The 19,093-nt window shown below is 44.6% G+C and overlaps 1 long non-coding RNA gene across 1 annotated transcript in view, besides 1 other annotated feature; it reads left to right on the forward strand.

Annotated features, from left to right (window-relative positions):
• The window catches only part of LINC02774 (long intergenic non-protein coding RNA 2774), a 129,916-nt gene that overhangs the window by 21,691 nt on the left and 89,132 nt on the right, over positions 1-19,093 (forward strand). The gene's annotated exons all lie outside the window — the stretch shown is intronic.
• Positions 155-449: an enhancer, noted in NCBI's record as "tiled region #14056; HepG2 Activating non-DNase unmatched - State 22:ReprW, and K562 Activating DNase unmatched - State 5:Enh". NCBI's record gives its function as "activates a minimal TATA promoter and a strong SV40 promoter by Sharpr-MPRA in HepG2 and K562 cells {active_cell/tissue: HepG2 | K562}" and the evidence as "EXISTENCE:reporter gene assay evidence [ECO:0000049][PMID:27701403]".

The following is a 19,093-nucleotide window of genomic DNA, read 5'->3' on the forward strand; positions in this document are numbered from 1 at the left end:
TGGGCTGGGGTTCAAGTATCATGGCTATTATTTTTCAATCTCCTCAGGTGATTCTAAGGGCAACCAGGTTGAGAAACACTAGTATAACTATTTTGCTGCTGCACTGGACCCCCTCCATTATTATTTTCACACACAATCCCCAACTGCTCCTGCCTTTGTTCAATTTCCCCTCTACCTGGTTGCTATAAAGTATCTCCACTCACTTAGATGTATTTTTACCCAATTTAGTCATCAATTCAATAACTATTTGTAGAACTTCTTTTTATGCCAGAATCATGCTGCATGATGGAGGGCCTCTTTAGAGGAGCCCAGATAGCATGACTAAGCATTCTTCTTCCTTCCTGCATGACTAAGCATTCTCTTTCCTTCCTTATTTGGATCCCAAAGGCGCTGTTCCCAGACCCTCACTGCCATTGCTACCTGGGACATAGAATGCCTTGCTTGTCCCTGGGTTCTTAAGGATAATGTTTCCCTGTTCTTATTCCCCAGTTACTTGTACTCATGATTTATTGACCGTATCCCTACTACTGAAAGCAGTAGATAGGTAAGGGCAGCAGCCTCCCCAAACAGTTATTTATTGGGGCAAACCTATTCTGAGCTGAAACAGTCTTTCGTCATTGTGGCATGCAATACCAGAGACTCAGAATGAGCAGAACATCCATGTGAATGCAGAAGGGAAAAAAAATGGCTTGGAGATGGACTCTCAGAGGCTCTTGACCCCTATAACACTCCTTTCTCCAATCATTCCAGTGTTTACTGCTGTCCTTTTCTCATGAATAAGGCTTCGGGGCCCTTTCTCCTTATCTTCTTTGGGTAGACAGAGCCAGGAGGCACAACAGAGTGACTGTATTTGGCTGAGTATAAAAGGGAACATACGATTTTGTGGTCAATTTATTTTCACCTCATTCATTCTCAGGGGTACATGGTTTTCACCTCCTTGATTTTCTGTGTTCATTGACTTGAAGCCTGCTGTTTATGGGAGGTTACTTCACATCTTCTCAAGCCATCTTTTTCTTTGTTTGTTTGTTTTTCGTTTTTCTGCCTTGGCAACTCTCTGCTTTCAGCTTGAACTAGTTTGAAGTAATCTCAGTGGTTTACCTACTTAATAATGATACTTGTCTTTTTCATAGAAGTATTATTATATGATATAATCTTTTTATTATAAATGTTAGAGTTTGGAGGGATCTTACAGGTTACTCTAGTCCAGCTCCTTCATTCAGTATGAGGGCACTGAAAACCAGGAGGTTAAAGGATTTGCCCAAGGTCACACAGCTGGAAAAGCAGAAGAGCTAGACTGGGAAGGGAGGGAAGGAGGGAGGGAGATAGAAGAAAGGAATGAAGAGAGGGAGGGACAGAGAGAGGGATGGAGGGAGAAGGATTTTACTCCAGATACAACAGTTGGATGCTTTTGGCTGCAAGTAACATTTGACTCAAACTGGCTTAAATAATCTGTGTATTTATCATCTCGCATATCAAGAAGTTCCGAGGCAGGGCAGGCTCCAGGTGTAGATGATTAGGGCTCTGGCTCTGCTGCTCGATGATTCCTTACCTAACCTGTCTCCATGTGTCAGCTGTGTTCTCAGAATGGCTTCCCCCATGGTACCCAGATGACTACCAACAGCAATGGGGGAATGTACTCCTCTGTTTACATCCAGATGGAGAGAGTGAGAGAAAGCATGGATCAGGGGTCCTGTCCTTCAGGCCGATTGGTCAACTCGGTTCATACTCGTGTGCCTGTCCCTAGGCTAACACAGTTGGTAAGGAAGGCCATAAGCTTGTGTCTGCATTCCCCAGCTCATCTCTGGCAGGGAGAACGTGCTCACTATGATTCATTTAGATCCATCAGCACCTCGCTCTGGAGATGGGTTGGAGTCCATTTCCCATGTGTCACTTGAGTTTCACGGGGGAGAGGTTGGTCAGGATTCCCTTCACAGAAAAGAAGAGAGGAGTGGATGGGTCAGGCGGGCAGCCAAAGGTATCCCCCACACGAGGAACCAGCAGGCAGTATCGCCCAGGTGAAGCACACGGCACAGAGCCCGTATGTATCCCCCACACGAGAAACCAGCAGGCAGTATCTCCCAGGTGAAGCACACGGCACGGAGCCCGTATGTATCCCCCACACGAGAAGCCAGTAGGCAGTATCTCCCAGGTGAAGCACACGGCACAGAGGCCATATGCAGCAGATGGTAAATGACCAGCCCTTGGGGCCATTCTTATTATTTGTTAAGCCCTGCTGACATGTGGGACTAACTATACCTTTTAAACTTTACCTGTGTTGGAGAGGGAGGGGATGAAGTGGGAAGGGGACCAGCCATGCCTCCTCTTGCCTATGGAAACTTTATCCTATAATGAGAGTGGCCAGCAGGAAAGAAAATAAGGAGGGCACCCCATCTGATCTGTAGAAGACGTACCTGTGCCAGGGTCAGGGTGGAAGCAGGTGTGTATCTTAGGGCATGAGCTGTGTGGGAACTCTAGCCTGAGTAGGAATCCTTACTGCCTCAACGGGATTTTTGAGCTAGCATGAAAGAGAAGGAAGTTTATGAGCTTCACCTGAAAATCCTTTCTGTTTTGTTTTTGTTTCGCTTTGTTTTGTTTTGTTAGAGACAGGGTCTCACTCTGTCACCCAGGCTGGAGTGCAGTGGTGCAATCCTAGCTCACTGCAGCCTTGAACTCCTGGGCTCAAGCGATCTTCCTGCCTCAGCCTCTGGAGTAGCTGGAACTACAGGTGCATGCCACCATGCCCGGCTAAGAAAATTCCCTCTTGAATTAATTATAATCCTCTCTTGCCAAAAAGTCATCCTTTTCAGATGGGACTGGCAGTGTGTGCCACCTATCAGAGCAACCATGAGACTCCCGACCAGCTATGTGCTTGCCCTTCTCCTGGGCTGTGCTTTTTCCTTCTTATTAAAGTTTTTATTTATGACGTCCATGAATGCCAGTCTCAGGGCAGAATTCCCTCCCCACCACGGCGCATTGTCTTGACTTTAGGTCATCCCTAGAACTTTTTACTATTCTGAACGCTACTCATCTCAATGTATTTTCCTGGCCTTCTATGGCTGCTCCATTGGGTATGTTTGATGCGGGGAGTGCTTTGAGGTTTGTGAAAAGCGTTTTTGAGAAACTTGCTGTTAGATAACATCCCCGGGTCTCAGTGATCCTTTTTTAAGCACCACCATCATCTACATTAATCATCCTGTTTATGATGCATAGACAAAGGATGTGGAACTGTTTCTGTAGGGCTTGGGGAGAGGGCTGTTTCTAGGAGCTGTTTCTTCCAGTCTGGAGAGGCAGCTTCAGTCTGAGTTGTGGGGGCGGCGTGGCAAAGCTTCTGGCTCCTGAATTACAATAAGGATTTGAATCAAGAGAGCCCACAAAGATTCTGCCCATAAAGCTGTTTCACTCTCATTTTCTTTTTTTGGAAGTGAGGTCCCAAGTATTAATGTTTTCCCCCACAGAATGCAATGATGTATGTAGAGTGCAAAAAGAGGGGAAACTCAGAAATTATTCCATAGCTCTATTTTTTTTCCCTGAATAACTTGAGTTCTCAGAAGCTTTGGGAGCATGTGCTGATACGTTCTGAGTCTGAGTGATCCTGTCTTATGAGGCTGAGGTGTTCTGCCATTTTCTCAGGCTTGCCAGCAGCGCCTGATGGCCTCCGACACCGCGGTCTTCAGTCCCCCTTGCTGACTGTTCTGACACCCTCGCTGGCTGGCTCCGTCTGGCCCCAGGTCCTAGAATCAATCCTGATGATAGAAAGATGTCTGCAATCTCAGCCCGATTCCCCATCCAGTAGCTCTGAGAATTCAATCAAATACCCCTGCAGATTCAGAATGCCACGCTGTGCCACGTCTGCTAACTTTCTATGCCTGCCAATGTCCTTTGCTGCCAACCAGCTCCAAGGGTAAGCCCTGATCTCCTGTATGCCCCTTGAATTTCTGCATCCCACTGTGCCCTGTGATGCCGCATCCGTCGATGGCTGCCTGCCTTGTTCTAGCACCCCTACCTCTAATAGCCTCTATTAAGCAGAGTCCTGACCTGAGCCCCAGCCTCCCGGGTGGATTTCTTGCATGGTACATGGCTCTCGCTAGCCTTCCTCCCTGGAGCTGATCCATGGCCTGTGCCCCGGCCCCCAACACTGGGTCAGCAGTCTCAGCCTCTGCCTGGCCTCTGGTTCCTGAGGGGATGGCGACTGCCTGGGTTTGTCACCATATTGAATAAAACATATTGATGGCTGGCTGCATCATACCTGAAGGGCTAGGCCCTTTGACATAGTATGTTGGACCAATGGTTAGAATATGAGGGCTGTAGATGCCTGGACAGTGCAGGGGCATTGCAAAGAATTTAGGCATCTACATATCCACCAAGATTTATATGTGGAATGTCTTATAGAAATATCTTCATTATGCTTTGAAAATGTGTACAGATGCTTCTGTATCTAATGAGATAGAGATCCATTTAAAAGCATTACTGAATTCATAGCATCTTTTTGTCACTGTATATCTTCTCAATCAATCAATGGATGCCAAAATCCAAGTACAACACAGCACAGTGTTGTCATCTGAGCAAGGCCTCTTTTGCAGTCGTTGTCTGCACTGCCCAGCACTCACGGATCTGCCGGCTCCCTTGGGTTGCAGCACTCTGTCTGCAGTGGCAAAACTCCTAAGAAACAGTTCATTCTGCCCAGTGTGACCCTTTGCTGGAAGTTTTTCCTGCCAGCTACAATAGGCAGGGGTGTGAGAGTTCACCTCCTCTGAACTGTCTCTATTGCTCTCTCAAGGCAAATGGACTGCAGAGTTGCACTGGCCTCAGAGCCACTAACCATGTCATGACTGCCTCATGGGGAAAGTTCCAAGGGGAACAGTCTGTGGTTCCAAGCCATGTTTTGATTCAAGTCTCTGAGGATGTCCATACCCTTAATGGCTAATAGAGGAGTGGGGTCCTCGAGCTTCCCAAGACATATGAGGACCCTACTTTTTTCCCATTAATCTTAGACGCAAGCTCTAGCTTCTGAGATATCTGAGCCAGCATTCACGTAAACACCCCATTCTGTAGGAATGAACAGAAGGAAAAGGCAGCCGGAACAAATAACTTCCAAGTTAATATTTTGCCAAGACTAACCCAGACTGGACCAGACTGTAAATTCCTGATGGAAGAAGCTGGGATTCCCCTCCTCCACCCCATCCCCCTAGGCCCCGCCTATACTCCATTCTCCGTGTCCTCAGGTATAAGTCGGAGATACAGCATTCCAAGGGAGAGCCCCTGAGCTCAGGGCTGAGTGAAACCTGGCCTTGAACCCAGTATAACCTTCTAGTGGCCCTCTGAACCTCTGAGGCTATGACAGAGGAAGAGGGGCCCAGAACCCTAACAGAGGAGGGAGTGGGGCACAGGGCCGAGTCCGTTTCCTTGCCTCCGTTTCAGAAGAGCTGTCCTTGGTGTTGAAGCAAACCTCGGCTGCTTGTCTCCTCTGCAGGGGAGAGTTATGTAAATAACGCCTGCGTCTCTGGGAACTCCACTGTCTCAGGTAGTGGAGGGAGCCCTCGGTGGAACTTGGTGAGACCATTCAGTCGGAACGCTGTGCATCTGCCCTGGCCTGCCCTTGCTGAGTCAGTACGCAGGCCAGCTTGTTGGGGAAGGTGTGTGTAGGAGAGAAAACAGAGGCCTTGGAGATGCCACACTAACACCAGGAACCTCGCAAAGAAAAACTCCTGAACTCGGAAAGAGACTCTGATAATAGCTAAGTTCCCTTGTTTCTGACTATTTAGGGAGAGCGCTGTTACGAGCCTGGGACAAATGTGCTACGCCTCTGTTGTCTGGATTATGAAAAAAGCCAGGACAAGTGAAATGATCTGGCCTGTTGTCATGGCAATAGCAGCCCTTCCGCAGACATCGACGGAGAGCCCGTATGCTGTGCTAGAGACTGTGGTGTGTGTGCTGCGGACACAATGCAGGAAAAGATGGCCTCAATTCTTGCCTTCATGGAGCTTACGGTATAAAGGAAGACTCAGAAAAAAAGAGAAGTAAACAAACAAATACCTATATAATTATGTAGTCTGGGAAGGAAACAAATGTGCCTGAGACAATGACAGCAAATTTACCGTAGACAGGGAAGACCACTCAAAAGAGTGACGTTTATTTATTTATTTATTTATTTTTAGACAGAGTTTCACTCTGTCGCCCAGGCTGGAGTGCAGCAGTGCGATCTCGGCTCACTGCAACCTCCGCCTCCTGGGTTCAAGCGATTCTCCTGCCTCAGCCTCCAGAGTAACTGGGATTACAGGTGTGCACCACCACGCCCTGCTAATTTTTGTATTTTTAGTAGAGATGGGGTTTCACCATGTTGGCCAGGCTGGTCTCGAACTCCTGACCTCGTGATCTGCCTGCCTCGGCCTCCCAAAATGCTGACATTACAGAGGTAAGCCACCGCACCCAGCCAGAGTGATGTTTAATAGTGTGTTGTGATGGATGAGAAGGAACCAGCCCACTCATGAGTGTGGAATAAGAGTACTTTGGGCTGAGGGAAAAGTGAGTTCAAATGCCTTGGGGTAGGAAAGAGCTTGCTCCTTTGATGAACTTAGAGAAGCCTTCTCTGAGATGATGTCATAAGAGCTGCTTCCCTAATACCACCCAGTGGAAGGAGAGATGCCCAGATGAAGATGGACTCATCGAGTAACTGACGGTAACTAGTAATCTGAAGTTTAATCCAAATTATCATTTCAAAGGGAGGTACAAATGCTCAGGAATCTGTCTCAACCAGGCTGACCTTGAATCCTGCTGCCTAGTTTTACATTAAGACTTTCAGGTCTGGCCCCCTGGCTGGCGCCTGTAATCCCAGCACTTTGGGAGGCCAAGGTGGGAGGATTGCTTGAGGCCAGGAGCTCGAGACCAACCTGGGCAACATAGTGAGATCCTACCTCTACAAAAAAATACACACACGCACAAATCTAGCCAGGCATGGTGGTGTGCCTCTGTAGTCCTAGCTACTCAGGAGGCTGAGGCAGGAGGATTGCTTGAGTCCAAAAGGTCAAGGCTGCAGTGAGCTAGGGTTGCACCACTGCACTCCAGCCTGGGTGACAGAATGAAACCTTGCTTCAAACAAAACAAAACAAAACAAAACAAACCTTTCAGTAGTTCTGTGATTTTTACTACCAAATGGAATTGTATTTTGTATCATGACATGTGCCTTTAAAAACAGGAGAGAAATGCAGATTCTCCATGGCAAAAAAACAAAAAACTAGACAAAGGAAGTCTTAGAAAAAACGAAGAGGCAAGCCAAGGCAGACACGAAGCTCTTATCGGCACAACCCCAGATTCCGGTCAAGAAAAGCTCAGCAAGATCAGAGAGGAGTTGTAATCTCTGATAAACAGATGGGGAGACACGGAGGGCTGTTGATGGTGGGGCCTGGGAAGAGCCTAAGGGATTGGATTTGGAGAATGGAATTTTCTAGGCCAGGTCAGGCTGCCTCACAGTGTGTTAGTCCAAGAAGAGCTTTTATGCGAGACCAGGGATGGATCCTGGCCTGGGGGCCAAAGTTTATAGAACGTGTGTCTATGTATGTCTGTCTACACATGTATGAAGAACTTTACACGATAAGAAATGCAACATTGCTGAGCACCCTCCCAGAGCCTCAGAAGAATCCTCAAGTGAGGGTCCCTGAATCTTAAACCTCATTTGCTCCATGCTACCTCTAGCTGTGTACCAGACACCTCATCCAAGGCCAAATGACTTCACTTTGCTTGGCATGGAAAAAAGGCACTAAACTTGGATCACACGTTGAGTCTCTGCTATGATGGTGGAGAGTGTGGGGAGAAAAAAGAACCAGATAGGTTGGAGTTAAGTATCTCAGAGGCCATGAGGGCAAAACTGGAACACAGCTGCTGCCTGCTGCAGGGACAGGATGACGAGAGGGAAGCAAGCCAGACAGGTGACGAGTCTGCCTTCCGCGCCTCCGCTGCATGGTAGCAGGAATGCTTTCTCCACTTAGGAACTTCTACTAGCTTCACCTCTAAAAAGAGATTGCCATTGTTGTTGGTAATTAGCACATGAGAGGTATACCTTAGGCTACCCTTAAACGGGCCCGACCTGCTGAGAAGAGCAACAGTAGAGACAGCCTAAGTCATTTATGAAAGTGGAGAAATGCTTGCTTCCAGGGCCCCAGTGCCCCCTAGTGCTCATGCACCCCAACTCCAACCCCTCGTCCTATTCTGCTGGCAATTAAGAGTTTGCCATCAAACCTGTAATTTTCCAAAATAGATCCCTAAACTTTAACTCCACCCCTCCTGCTGTCCCTATGAAAACATAAGCACACAAATCACATCTCACTGTCTTAGTAATCTGTGAACTAACTACTTTGATTAAACTCTAATACAATGAATTTATACTCAAATTGGAAAGGCAGGCCTCATATACTGTCTTTTCTGGAAATAGTGTTTTTCTTTTTTCATTGAGCAAAAATTTACTGAGCATTTAGTATGCATCAGATACTGAATTAAGGGGTTACTATGAGAAGGTCCCTGCCTGGAGGAATCTGTCACCCAGAGGAAAAAGCAGACTCAGTGATCTGTGCAGAGCACAGTCAGGGCATTTGGAAAGAGCGTCCTGGAAAGAAAGCAAGGGTGACTGTTAATTGCTGAGAAACTTAAATGCTAGTTCCAGCTGGCAGGGGTCTACTCTAGGATAGAGAACCTTAGCATGTGCTCTACATGCTCTCCTGTGGAGAGTCTCCTAGTGCAGCTTGGCCAATCAATGTGATGGGCACTGACTTGGGAGGCTTAGTTCACAAGTCTTAAGTATTTTCTGCCCCTGTCCAGATAATGTCTTTTCTGTTTCTTTTGTTTTGTTTTGTTTTGTTTTTGTTCTTGTTTTTGTTTTTGAGACGGAGTCTCGCTCTGTCGCCCAGGCTGGCGTGCAATGGCTGGATCTCAGATCACTGCAAGCTCCACCTCCCGGGTTCGAACAATTCTCCCACCTCAGCCTCCCCAGGAGCCAGGATTGCAGGCACCTGCCGTCATGCCCAGCTAATTTTTATATTTTTGTAGAGACAGGGTTTCACTATGTTGGCCAGGCTGGTCTCGAACTCCTGACCTCAGGTGATCCTCCCACCTCGGCCTTCCAAAGTGCTGGGATTACCGGTGTCAACCACCACACCTGGCCTGTCCAGACAACCTCTGAGGTCTCTTCCTCCTCTTAACTGGGCAGAATCTTGCTTGGAACTATTTCACAGGAGCTCAGATGAATGGCAGAAAAAAATGGCTGCTCACTTACTCTTTTTAAATTGTTAATTCATTAATTTATTTTTAAAAACTCATTCACTAAAATCATTTATTCTTGAGTCTTACTCTGGTAGAGAGCAGTGCACAGTGAGACTGACTTTAGAAAGCCAAAGATAGATTTGGCCAGTCCTGCTGTCCTTTCCATTTGCAATGACTTGTAGATATTAGTGGGAGTGACAGAGCCTACCTGCAATTTTAGAGTGGCTATAAATCCATTTGTTCCAGATTCTAGTATCCTGGGGCTGATCCTCACCTGTTTAGCTCCATGAGAAAGTCATGATTATAAAAGGGACTGTCCAGGCAGGGTTTGGCCCACAGAAAGTGAAATGCTGCAAATTGCTTTAAAAACTTGTTACTGTGGAGATCTGAATTGAAGGGTGATAGAGCAATTTGGTGTTGCTGAAAGAGATGATCAAGAAAAAGCATAACATCTATGGTGATTATTTTCAAAGCAGCATGGAGTGTGTCTTTGCTAATTTAGATCACATATCTGGTCTTAGTATCAATGATCAGTGCTTAGTTATGTGAGGCACCTACTGAATTTCTTGTGATCGATCCTAGGACAGTTACAGGTTGCAAATATCTATATAACCTTTGTTTCCTGACTCTATGTGCCATGTTTCTGCAATGGGAATCTTAGATGTTTAAAATGACTGATAGGATATGGAGGTGCTAAAAGCATTACTGCCAATTCCTAATCTTTGGGGGCTCAAAGAATTCTTTTTACTTCCGCTTGCATGTCTGCACAGTGATCCCCACAACTGCCACCCTATCGGGGTTCTGTCTCTGTACGTCTTCATCAGTCCTATTAGCATGTTTTACTCACATGTTAAAAGTTCAAAATAAAATTTAATAATGCTAATAACATTTTCAAATTTGTGGATTTTTAAAATTATTTAGAATGCATTTTAAAATTATGGTAAAATACCTCTCTGCTTCACATAACTTTGAAACTGTTTTTTTCTTAAAATTTGCAGCCTCCAGGATTTGTAAAAAATAAAATTTTTTATGTCTTTTGTGACAAAGAACAAAGGCTAAAAACCTGCAGTTCCCTTCTATTGTGGGTTGAAATGTGTCCCCCCAAAAAGATTTAAGTCCTAACCCCTGATACCTGTGAATGTGACCTTATTTTAAAACAGGATCTTTGAAAGTTAAATAAAGTTAAAATGAGGTTGTCTTGGATTAAGGTAGGCACTAATCCAATGACTGGTGTTCTTATAAGAAGAAGGCAATTTGGACATAGGGACACAGACACACAAGGCCACAAACCAAGGAATGCCAAAGATTGCGGGCAATCACCAGAAGCTAGGATGGCAAGGAAGTCTCCTCCCCTGGAGCCTTTGGAACAAGCGTGGCCCAGCAGACACCTGCAGGTTATGAATTAGGACTTTAATCTTCCAGAATTGTGAGAGGTTAAATATCTGGTGTGTGAGGTTTTTTGTTTTTTTTTTGTTTTTGTTTTTGTTTTTGTTTTGTTTTGTTTTTGAGATGGAGTCTCATTCTGTTGCCCAGGCTGGAGTGCAACGGCTGATCTCAGCTCACTGCAACCTCCACCTCCAGGGTTCAAGCGATTCTCCTGCCTCAGCCTCCCGAGTAGCTGGGATTACAGGCACGTGCAACCATGCACAGCTAATTTTTGTATTTTTAGTAGAGACGGGGTTTCACTATGTTGGCTAGGCTGCTCTTGAACTCCTGACCTCACGATCCACCTGCCTTGGCCTCCCAAAGTGCTGGGATTACAGGCGTGAGCCATGGCGCCCAGCCAAATATCTTTTGTTTTAAACCACTCAGTTAGTGGCACATTTATTGTGGCAGACCTAGGAAACAAACACACTTTCCTTCCCCTAAATTCACCTATTAGATATTGGGTCCCTAATACAGTGTTTACCTTTTGAAGGGTTTGTGAACACCCGTGCTTATTTCTGAGCTAGGCATGTTGGATCTTACAAATGACTTCTTGTCTTGTGGGACACACAGAATCCCAGAGGAATGCTAGCGGCCAAGAGCCAAAGTCTCAGTTTACTGGGCCCTAGTGAAACAGCCCGAGGGATGAGTCAGGGAGGATTGCAATGCTGTTTGTTACCCAAGTTGAGAACTTAGGCTCACAATAGTGCTCCTGTACTGTTAATAACTGGGGAATTTCCATTACAAGGTATCTGATCATCTTGGGATACCAATGAAGGATTTGAGTTCAATTAAGTGATGACAACACAGGCTGCCTTGTTTATCTTCAAGAAATGTAGCCCCTTGTTTTGACCATGGTTTAATGGGTTCCATAAAGAAGGTGGTGGCATTTGATATGATTTTATTGTTTTATAATTTGTGATTTGCAAGTTTCAGTAGTCAGGAGATTTCTTTTGCCTCCCCTTCTCCCTGCAAGAGCCTTCCCCGCAATCCGGATAGGCTGTCTCATGATGCCTGGTGGTATCTTGTCTCATCATTGAAATAATTCATATGTTTTGCCTAAGATCTAGATGACAACCACATTTTATTTATTTTATTTTATTTTGCCAAAATAGCCATTATCAAACCAGATAAACATACCGGCCATAAAACAGCAATGAATAATCTTATAGCAGGTGATAAGAAAATAAACTCCTCTGTACAGTTTGATCTTTTTATATAGGAGATTCCTAAGCATTATATAGTTATTTAAGTCTCAGTCTTGTACTCAGATGCTTCTTTAAAAAAAATTCCAGAATGAATTTGGAGAGTATAGGCTGGGATGGAAGGGATACCTCCAAAACTCAGAACATCAAGTTGAATCGTAGGAAGATGCAGGCTTTCTCCCAGACCCACAGAACAGGGGCCACTCTGTGACTAACTATGCTAAATAAATATTCAGTAGCCCAGCTAGAGAGACCATGTGTCCACAGAAAGGATATGGTCAAAACAGAAAATAGGGTTCGAAGAAGCAGAATTTGTTCCTGGGAAAAACACTGATTACTTTTTTTGTTTTGTTTTGTTTTCCCGCCCAGGCTGGAGTGCGGTGGCAAAATCTTCGCTTACTTCAGTCTTGACCTCCCAGGCTCAAGCAATCCTCCCGCCTCAGCCACCTGAGTAGCTGGGACCACAGGCATGCACCACCACGCCTGGCTAATTTTTGTATTTTTAGCAGAGATGGAGTTTCACCATGTTGCCCAGGCTGGTCTCTAACTCCTGAGCTCAAGTGACTCGCCCTCCTCGGCCTCCCAAAGTGCTGGGATTCCATACGTGAGCCGCCGTGTCTGGCCTTGATGACTTCTTAATGGATATCTCCGTCCCTATTGCCCTTTTGAGCTTGATTCATGTTTAAGATGAGTTAAACTAACATTTCACCTCGGTACTCTGATGGTACTCAAAACCAATATGTCCCAAACTAGCACAGTTCAGCAGGTGCTAAAGAAATATTTTTGATACAAAAAAATTAGCTGGGCATGGTGGCGGGCCCCTGTAATCCCAGCTACTCCGGAGGTTGAGGCAGGAGAATCGCTTGAACCTGGGAGGTGGAAGTTGCATTGAGCTGAGATGGCGCCACTGCACTCCAGCCTGGACGACAAGAGTGAAACTCTGTCTCAAACAAACAAACAAAAAACGAAATATTTTTGAAAGATAAATGAATAAATGGCTCATCTGTCCTGCCCCAAATCCAATTGCTAAGAATTTCCTTTATTAGTGAATGGCACTAATGTTTGCCAGCTAGAAACCTCTAAGTTGATGATTCTTCCCTCTGATACTCTGCATATCTCATCAATCACCATATCAAGCTCATCAAGCTTACAATTCCCTGAAATAAAAAGCACACACTGTCTAGTTTGCCTGAAATGGGAAGGCCTGGTGCTTCCCCACCACATGGCTTGAGCAGCAATCTTCCCCACCTCCCCCAGGCAGCTTGAATTCCTCCCTCTGTTAAAATTCTCACGAGCTTCTATGGTCATTATCTTATGTCTCCCCAGCCTGATTAAAACCCCTCAACCAGAAGCCCTGTCTTATTCACCTGTAAATACCCAGTGCTCGGTCTCCAGCCTGTTGAGACATGGTGGATGACGAGGACACGCTGACGAAAGCAATGAAAGGACACTGTGCCGGCCGAGGGGAGGGCGATGGGGCCACCAAGCGCAGTCTCTGCCGTCTCTGGCTGAACCTAGTCTGAGACGCAGCCAACAAGGCCTCGGAGAAGCGCTGAGTTCAGGGATGGCACAAAGCAGACGCAGGAGCAGCTGGCTGGAAGTGGAGGGCCTGAGGTGGGCAATGTCTGTTGTAATCCACGGCAAGTCTTTTTTTAGAAGCAGATGAGTGCCCCTTTGAAAGAAATTGGCACCGGAATTATGATACTTAGGTGAGCTCTGTCCTTGACGTATTCATCGTATTCCGTCCTCATCAGCAAGGTGGAGGTGCAACTTCAGGAATGGAGTGACCAGCTATGGAAACAGAAGCAGCTGCAAGTCTTCTCTCTTCCCTGGCCATGGAATGCACCTTACAGGATGCAGGGAAAGCTCCAGATGGCGTGGAGAACAGCACCTGGGGGGGCCGCAGTCTTGCCTCTGAGAGGAAGACAACTGGCACCCCACAAACACTGGTGGATGGGTCCCAGGAGGAATCAATGGCCCTGCCTGGAGTCGTCCTGTGTCCTGAATTCTGTGTGCATGCGCTGTCCTCCTCATCAGCATCACTAAAGAAGTCCCTTGCTGAAAGTCAGGGTGCCATGATACAGCTCCACTCATGCTTGAATGTTTCTGTTTTATCGTCCAGGACTGGAGAGGTCTGCAATAAATGGGGCATATGATAATTCGGACATTCCTGGCACCGAGCAAGTTCAGGAAGCAGGCGAGGGGGCGATAGGGCACCGTGAGCCTCTCCACCCTGTGGCATCTGCAAGCCTTGCTCCAGTCCTCAGCAGTACCCCGGGTGCCTTGCACCTCTTTAAAGCATGGGGCTCGTGGGCAAGTCAGCAGATGCAGAATTCTAGTGTCTTTAATTAACTGTTCAGTAGACCCTGAGCCCCAGAACATTTTCCTTTGCGCACAGACAACATCTAGGGTAAGATAAAATCATCTTAGTCTACTAGATTGATTGGAAGGAGCAACTGCCCAAGTGCCTGTCTAAGTAAACTTTGGCAGAACTCAGGCCGGTCCTCTGAAGACCTGGGGGCTTATTCTAGGGATATCACTGAACTGGTAGATGGACTGTGGTGGAATCATTTTTATTCTGTAGGATGAAGGTTGCCTAATGCTGGCCTGTGGAAAGTGCCATTCTGCGACTAAGTTATTGAGGCTTCACAGGGAGTTAGGAGACAGACTATGGAGAGAACTTCTCCATTAAAATAGACGGGTTCGCTTAGTCTGAGATTATATCCTTCCTCTTTATTGTAGAGTTTTTAAAAATGCTCCTTCGACCTGAATGAGCACATGGGCAAATTTAGAATGTAGAACATTCTACAAGACAACTTCTCTTTCTTCAAAGAGTCGAGGTCATGAAAACCTTTTTTTTTTTTTTTAAATGTGCAGGGAGGATTCCAGATTGAAGGATTTACAGCGACATAACAACCAAGTGTAATAAATGGAACTGGATTAAATCTTGGAAGGAAAAAGATCTATAAAGGACACTTCTAAACAACTGGGGAAATTCACATATAAACTGCCTATTAGATTATTATAATTTATGCTAATTGTCTTAGGTGAGACAACAGTATTGTGATTGTTTTGGAGAATATTTTTTTCTTTAGAGATGCATGAGAAAATATTTAGGGGTGAAGTGACATGACTTCTGTAACTTTCAAATTGTTCTTTAGGAAGAAAAGTTAGATGGAGATAAAGCGAAAATGTAAACAATGTGTGAATATAGCTAAGGGGGCTATTGATATTCATCGTGATTATTTTAGCTTCTCAATAGGATTAAAAGTTTTCAAAATAAAATTCAGGAGGAAAAGATTCAATTCCTCTTGGTGAAATATTTTATCGGTACCATATCTTTGGGCTGCAGTCTCTTGCATGATGTAAAGTACTTTAAAATGAAAGCATTTTTGAAATAGCACAACAATCCTCTTTCTTTTATGGAATTATAGTCATAGGTGATAGTTTCTTTGTATTAATATCCAAAATAAAAACGTGTGAACCCCACGTTGTTACTGCTGCTGCTTCCTCCTCCTCTTCCTCTTTCTCCTCCTCCTTCTTCTAAACATGTTTCTGGTCTAGGAATCTGGATGTCTAGAGGGTGCTGCTCCAGTGGTTGGCTTGTGCTATTCAGGGGTCCAACATTCTTCACGTCATGGCACATACAGAAAACAGTAATACTTGGCCAATGGAGTGAGACTGCTAGTGTCTGAAGGCAAGTAGCCCAGAAGCTCCGGCTGTCCCCAGGATGAAGGGGTCACTATCTTGGCACCCCCATGAGCCATCTGGGTCACATAAGTGTGCCACAGTCCACAGGTTAGGAAACTCTTCTTACATGCACAAAAGTGCTATGAACTGCTTTAATTATGATTTGAAACATTTGCTTGGAAAGTTATCTAGTATATGTCCAACACACTATGGATTCCTACTTTGATGCTATGAATGAGGTTTAGGTATCACTGTATGTTTGTGATAGCGCTGAATACCAGTGCAGTGGCCCACCTCTCTAACACGTTTCCGTCTGTATCATCACGTATCATAAGACTTGTTGTAATGGATCTTGAGTTGTAACAAGGTTAACAGAGATGCAGACTCCTACAGGAGCATATGGAGCTAACTCAGGAGCTAATGTTCTATCTCTAGCTTTTGAGATTCAGTCCAACTTGAATGGATTCAGATGAAGCAAGAAAAATCTGAGAACAGGAGCCTAGAAAGGAAAAGTTAATCCAATTTAATTCAACCTTTTCAATGAAGCAACATTTCATGTTTGGAGTTCAAACTTCTGAAGTTCTAAATAATTAATTTAAGTGCATTGAAATTTATCTGTTTGGAGGCTGCTCTCATGAAGAGACCAAGCTTAGAAAAGTGGTTTCTTAACCCTCTGGGTGCATCAGAATAGCCTGGCGAGCTTCTGACAAACACAGATACGTGGTCTTCATCCCTAAGAGATTGTGAGTCAATTGGTCTGGCATTCTACTTTTCAGAGGCTGCCCACCCAGGGGATTCTAGTGTGCTAGCAAATACTGAAGCCTAGAATCAGAAGCTCATAGTAAACAACTGGGAAGTATAAAGTGCTTTGCAATTATGAGACATTATTTTTATGATATGCTACTATAATTTCTTTTCTGTCTTCTCCTCCTAATTTCTCAACATGGTTAACTCATTCCATTTTGAGTGGAGTTTTTTTGTTTTTTGTTTTATTTTTCCTGGAATCCCTGTGGCCTCGTTCTTTCTATTGCTCAGCAAGAACCCACATACCCGTGACCGGCACAGAAGAGGTAACTGAGAAGTATCTTCCTGGGCACCCGCGAGGGTGCTACTGATGGAGAGTGTGCTTTCTTTCTAAAGCCAGATAATACTGTTGTTGTGTTGTTTCTCAGTCTAGATTCATTGTGACTTTGCTTCCTTCCATTAACTTGGACAGTTCTGAGTCCCCTCCGTCGGCTGGATGTCTGCGTCCTGTGCCAGAGAGTACACAGGAAATCGAGTGGTGGGGCCATTGCTTACTTCCAGACTCAGATTCCAACTTCTTTGTTCATAATGCAAAATTTGATGGTCAGAATAAAACTATGCAAATAAGATGATCCTATAGCCCAAGATAAAAGTAGGACTTTATTTAGTTTTAATATTTTTTAGAAACAAGGTCTCACTCTGTCGCTCAGGCTGGAGTGCAGTGGTGCCATCATAGCTCACTGCAGCCTCGAACTCCTGGGCTCAAGCCATCCTCCTGCCTCAGCCTTCTGAGTAGCTAGGACAAAAGTAGGACTTTAAATTGATGCTGAGATTTGCAAGATTCAGTTAGTAGGATCCTAGAGAAGTTAAATCACACAGGTTGAAATATCCTGATGATGATGATGATGATAGCTAACACACAGTGTTTACAATCTGTCAGACCCTAGTCTAAGTGCTTTACTCCCATTAACTCATGTAATCTTCACAACAACTGTATGGGTTAGGTACTATTATTGTCATCCCTGCACTACAGATCAAGAAACTAAGGCACAAAGAGAGGCTTTCGAGGCTTGATTTGCCATTAATGAGCCTATGTGAGCTTGGATACATCACTTAACCTTTCAGGATCTCAGATTTCTGGTTGGATTAGTGCTTTTCTACAACTCCTTTCTACTCGATGGTTCAGTAACTTTGTGAGTCATTCATTCCTAATGATCTCTGATCTCTGTTTCATTTAACCAGGACATTCCACTTCTGCCCATGTATCTTACTGATTTGGTGCAGTGATTTATTCTTTGTCTGTCCTTACCCTACTTTGTTTTCTATTAACCTCGGTTTCTGTTCCTTCAAAGTCTTCTACATTCTTTTCCTTATTAAAAACATCTGGAGAATCTTCTACATTTTGATAGGTTTCATTTCTAGAGGTAGAGAGTTTATCTATGTACATCAGCATTGGAGTTTGAGGACTTCCATTTAGGAGTCAAATGCAAATCTTAGAACTTTAGTGAGTCAAATAGTGTCATTTTCCTTAAAAAATAACAGTATAGAAATGAGTGAGAAAATGATGAAAATGAGCTGAAGTACTGAACTGAAGCACATGGTAACTGAAGTAGCAGCTGGATCATGGTACCCAGTGTAAGTTGTTGTGCTGACACTATTTTAATGAATACATTTTACATTATTTTCACGAATGTTAATATAGAGCTGCTACTATACTTGTGATTCAAAGAATGATATTTATAGTATACTAATACACCCAATAATGATGCAATGAAGAAGCTAAGATTTTCCATTCTTTTCCAGATTTGAAAGTGTGGACAGTGAGATTGGGGAAGCAGGTAGAACAGTACTTGAGAAATTTAAGAGGACTAAGGTTCTCTGTTTACTCCAGATGTCCAGAGGATCAATAGACAGTCTTTTCTCCATGGTGACTTACTCACTCTAGAAAAACAACTATCTAAAAGGGGAAGCTAAACATAATGATCTCACATTTCTATAAACATTCAGGGCCTTTTTCTGCTTTGCACTGGAACCTGAAAATGTGTGATTTTCTATTTTATCTGCAAATTGGAAGGTTCTCATGGTCACCATATTAAGAGCTTATATAAAAGGGGCCAGATAGATGAAGAAGAACATTCTCAGCTCTGTATGCCTACCTGGCACTTCTAACACGCAATTCTCTATTTTCCATGAAACCAGGAAGTTTGTGGATTCCTGCAAGGATTCAAGTGACTCACATCAATGAAGGCGGTGAATATGTTGGACCCAAACACCATCGGAAACATCTTTGTCAGCAGGGAGCAGAAGTTATATTAATTAAAATGTACTAAGAAGGCACAGGGTGCCCTCCCAACGAGTTACAAATTATTTTAATCCTAAATAAGGATGTTGCCTCCTGGCATCTTGTACTGCAGGGAATTAGAATAGAAACGTCTGTGGCATTTCTAGAAGTAGGGTCAGCAGGCTCAGATGGGATCTCTCAAGTTAGGAGCTGGACACATTTTGATAGAGAGCCACCAATTCAATTAAGTGATATTTAGTCAATCTCCTCTACGTATTCAGAGAAGATTAGGAAAAGGTTCAAAGTGAAAGGATCAGAAACAGGTAAAACTTGGAGAGAAGAGTGAAGGACTTGGTATATTAAGAAATAATCGGAGACTGGGCGCGGTGGCTCATACCTGTAATCCTAGCACTTCGGAAGGCTGAGGCGGGCAGATCGCCTGAGGTCCAGAGTTTGAGAGCAGTCTGACCAACATGGAGAAGCCCCGTCTCTACTAAAA

Source organism: Homo sapiens, chromosome 1, assembly GCF_000001405.40.
Source record: "Homo sapiens chromosome 1, GRCh38.p14 Primary Assembly".
In the NCBI taxonomy this organism is placed as follows: Eukaryota; Metazoa; Chordata; class Mammalia; order Primates; family Hominidae; genus Homo; species Homo sapiens.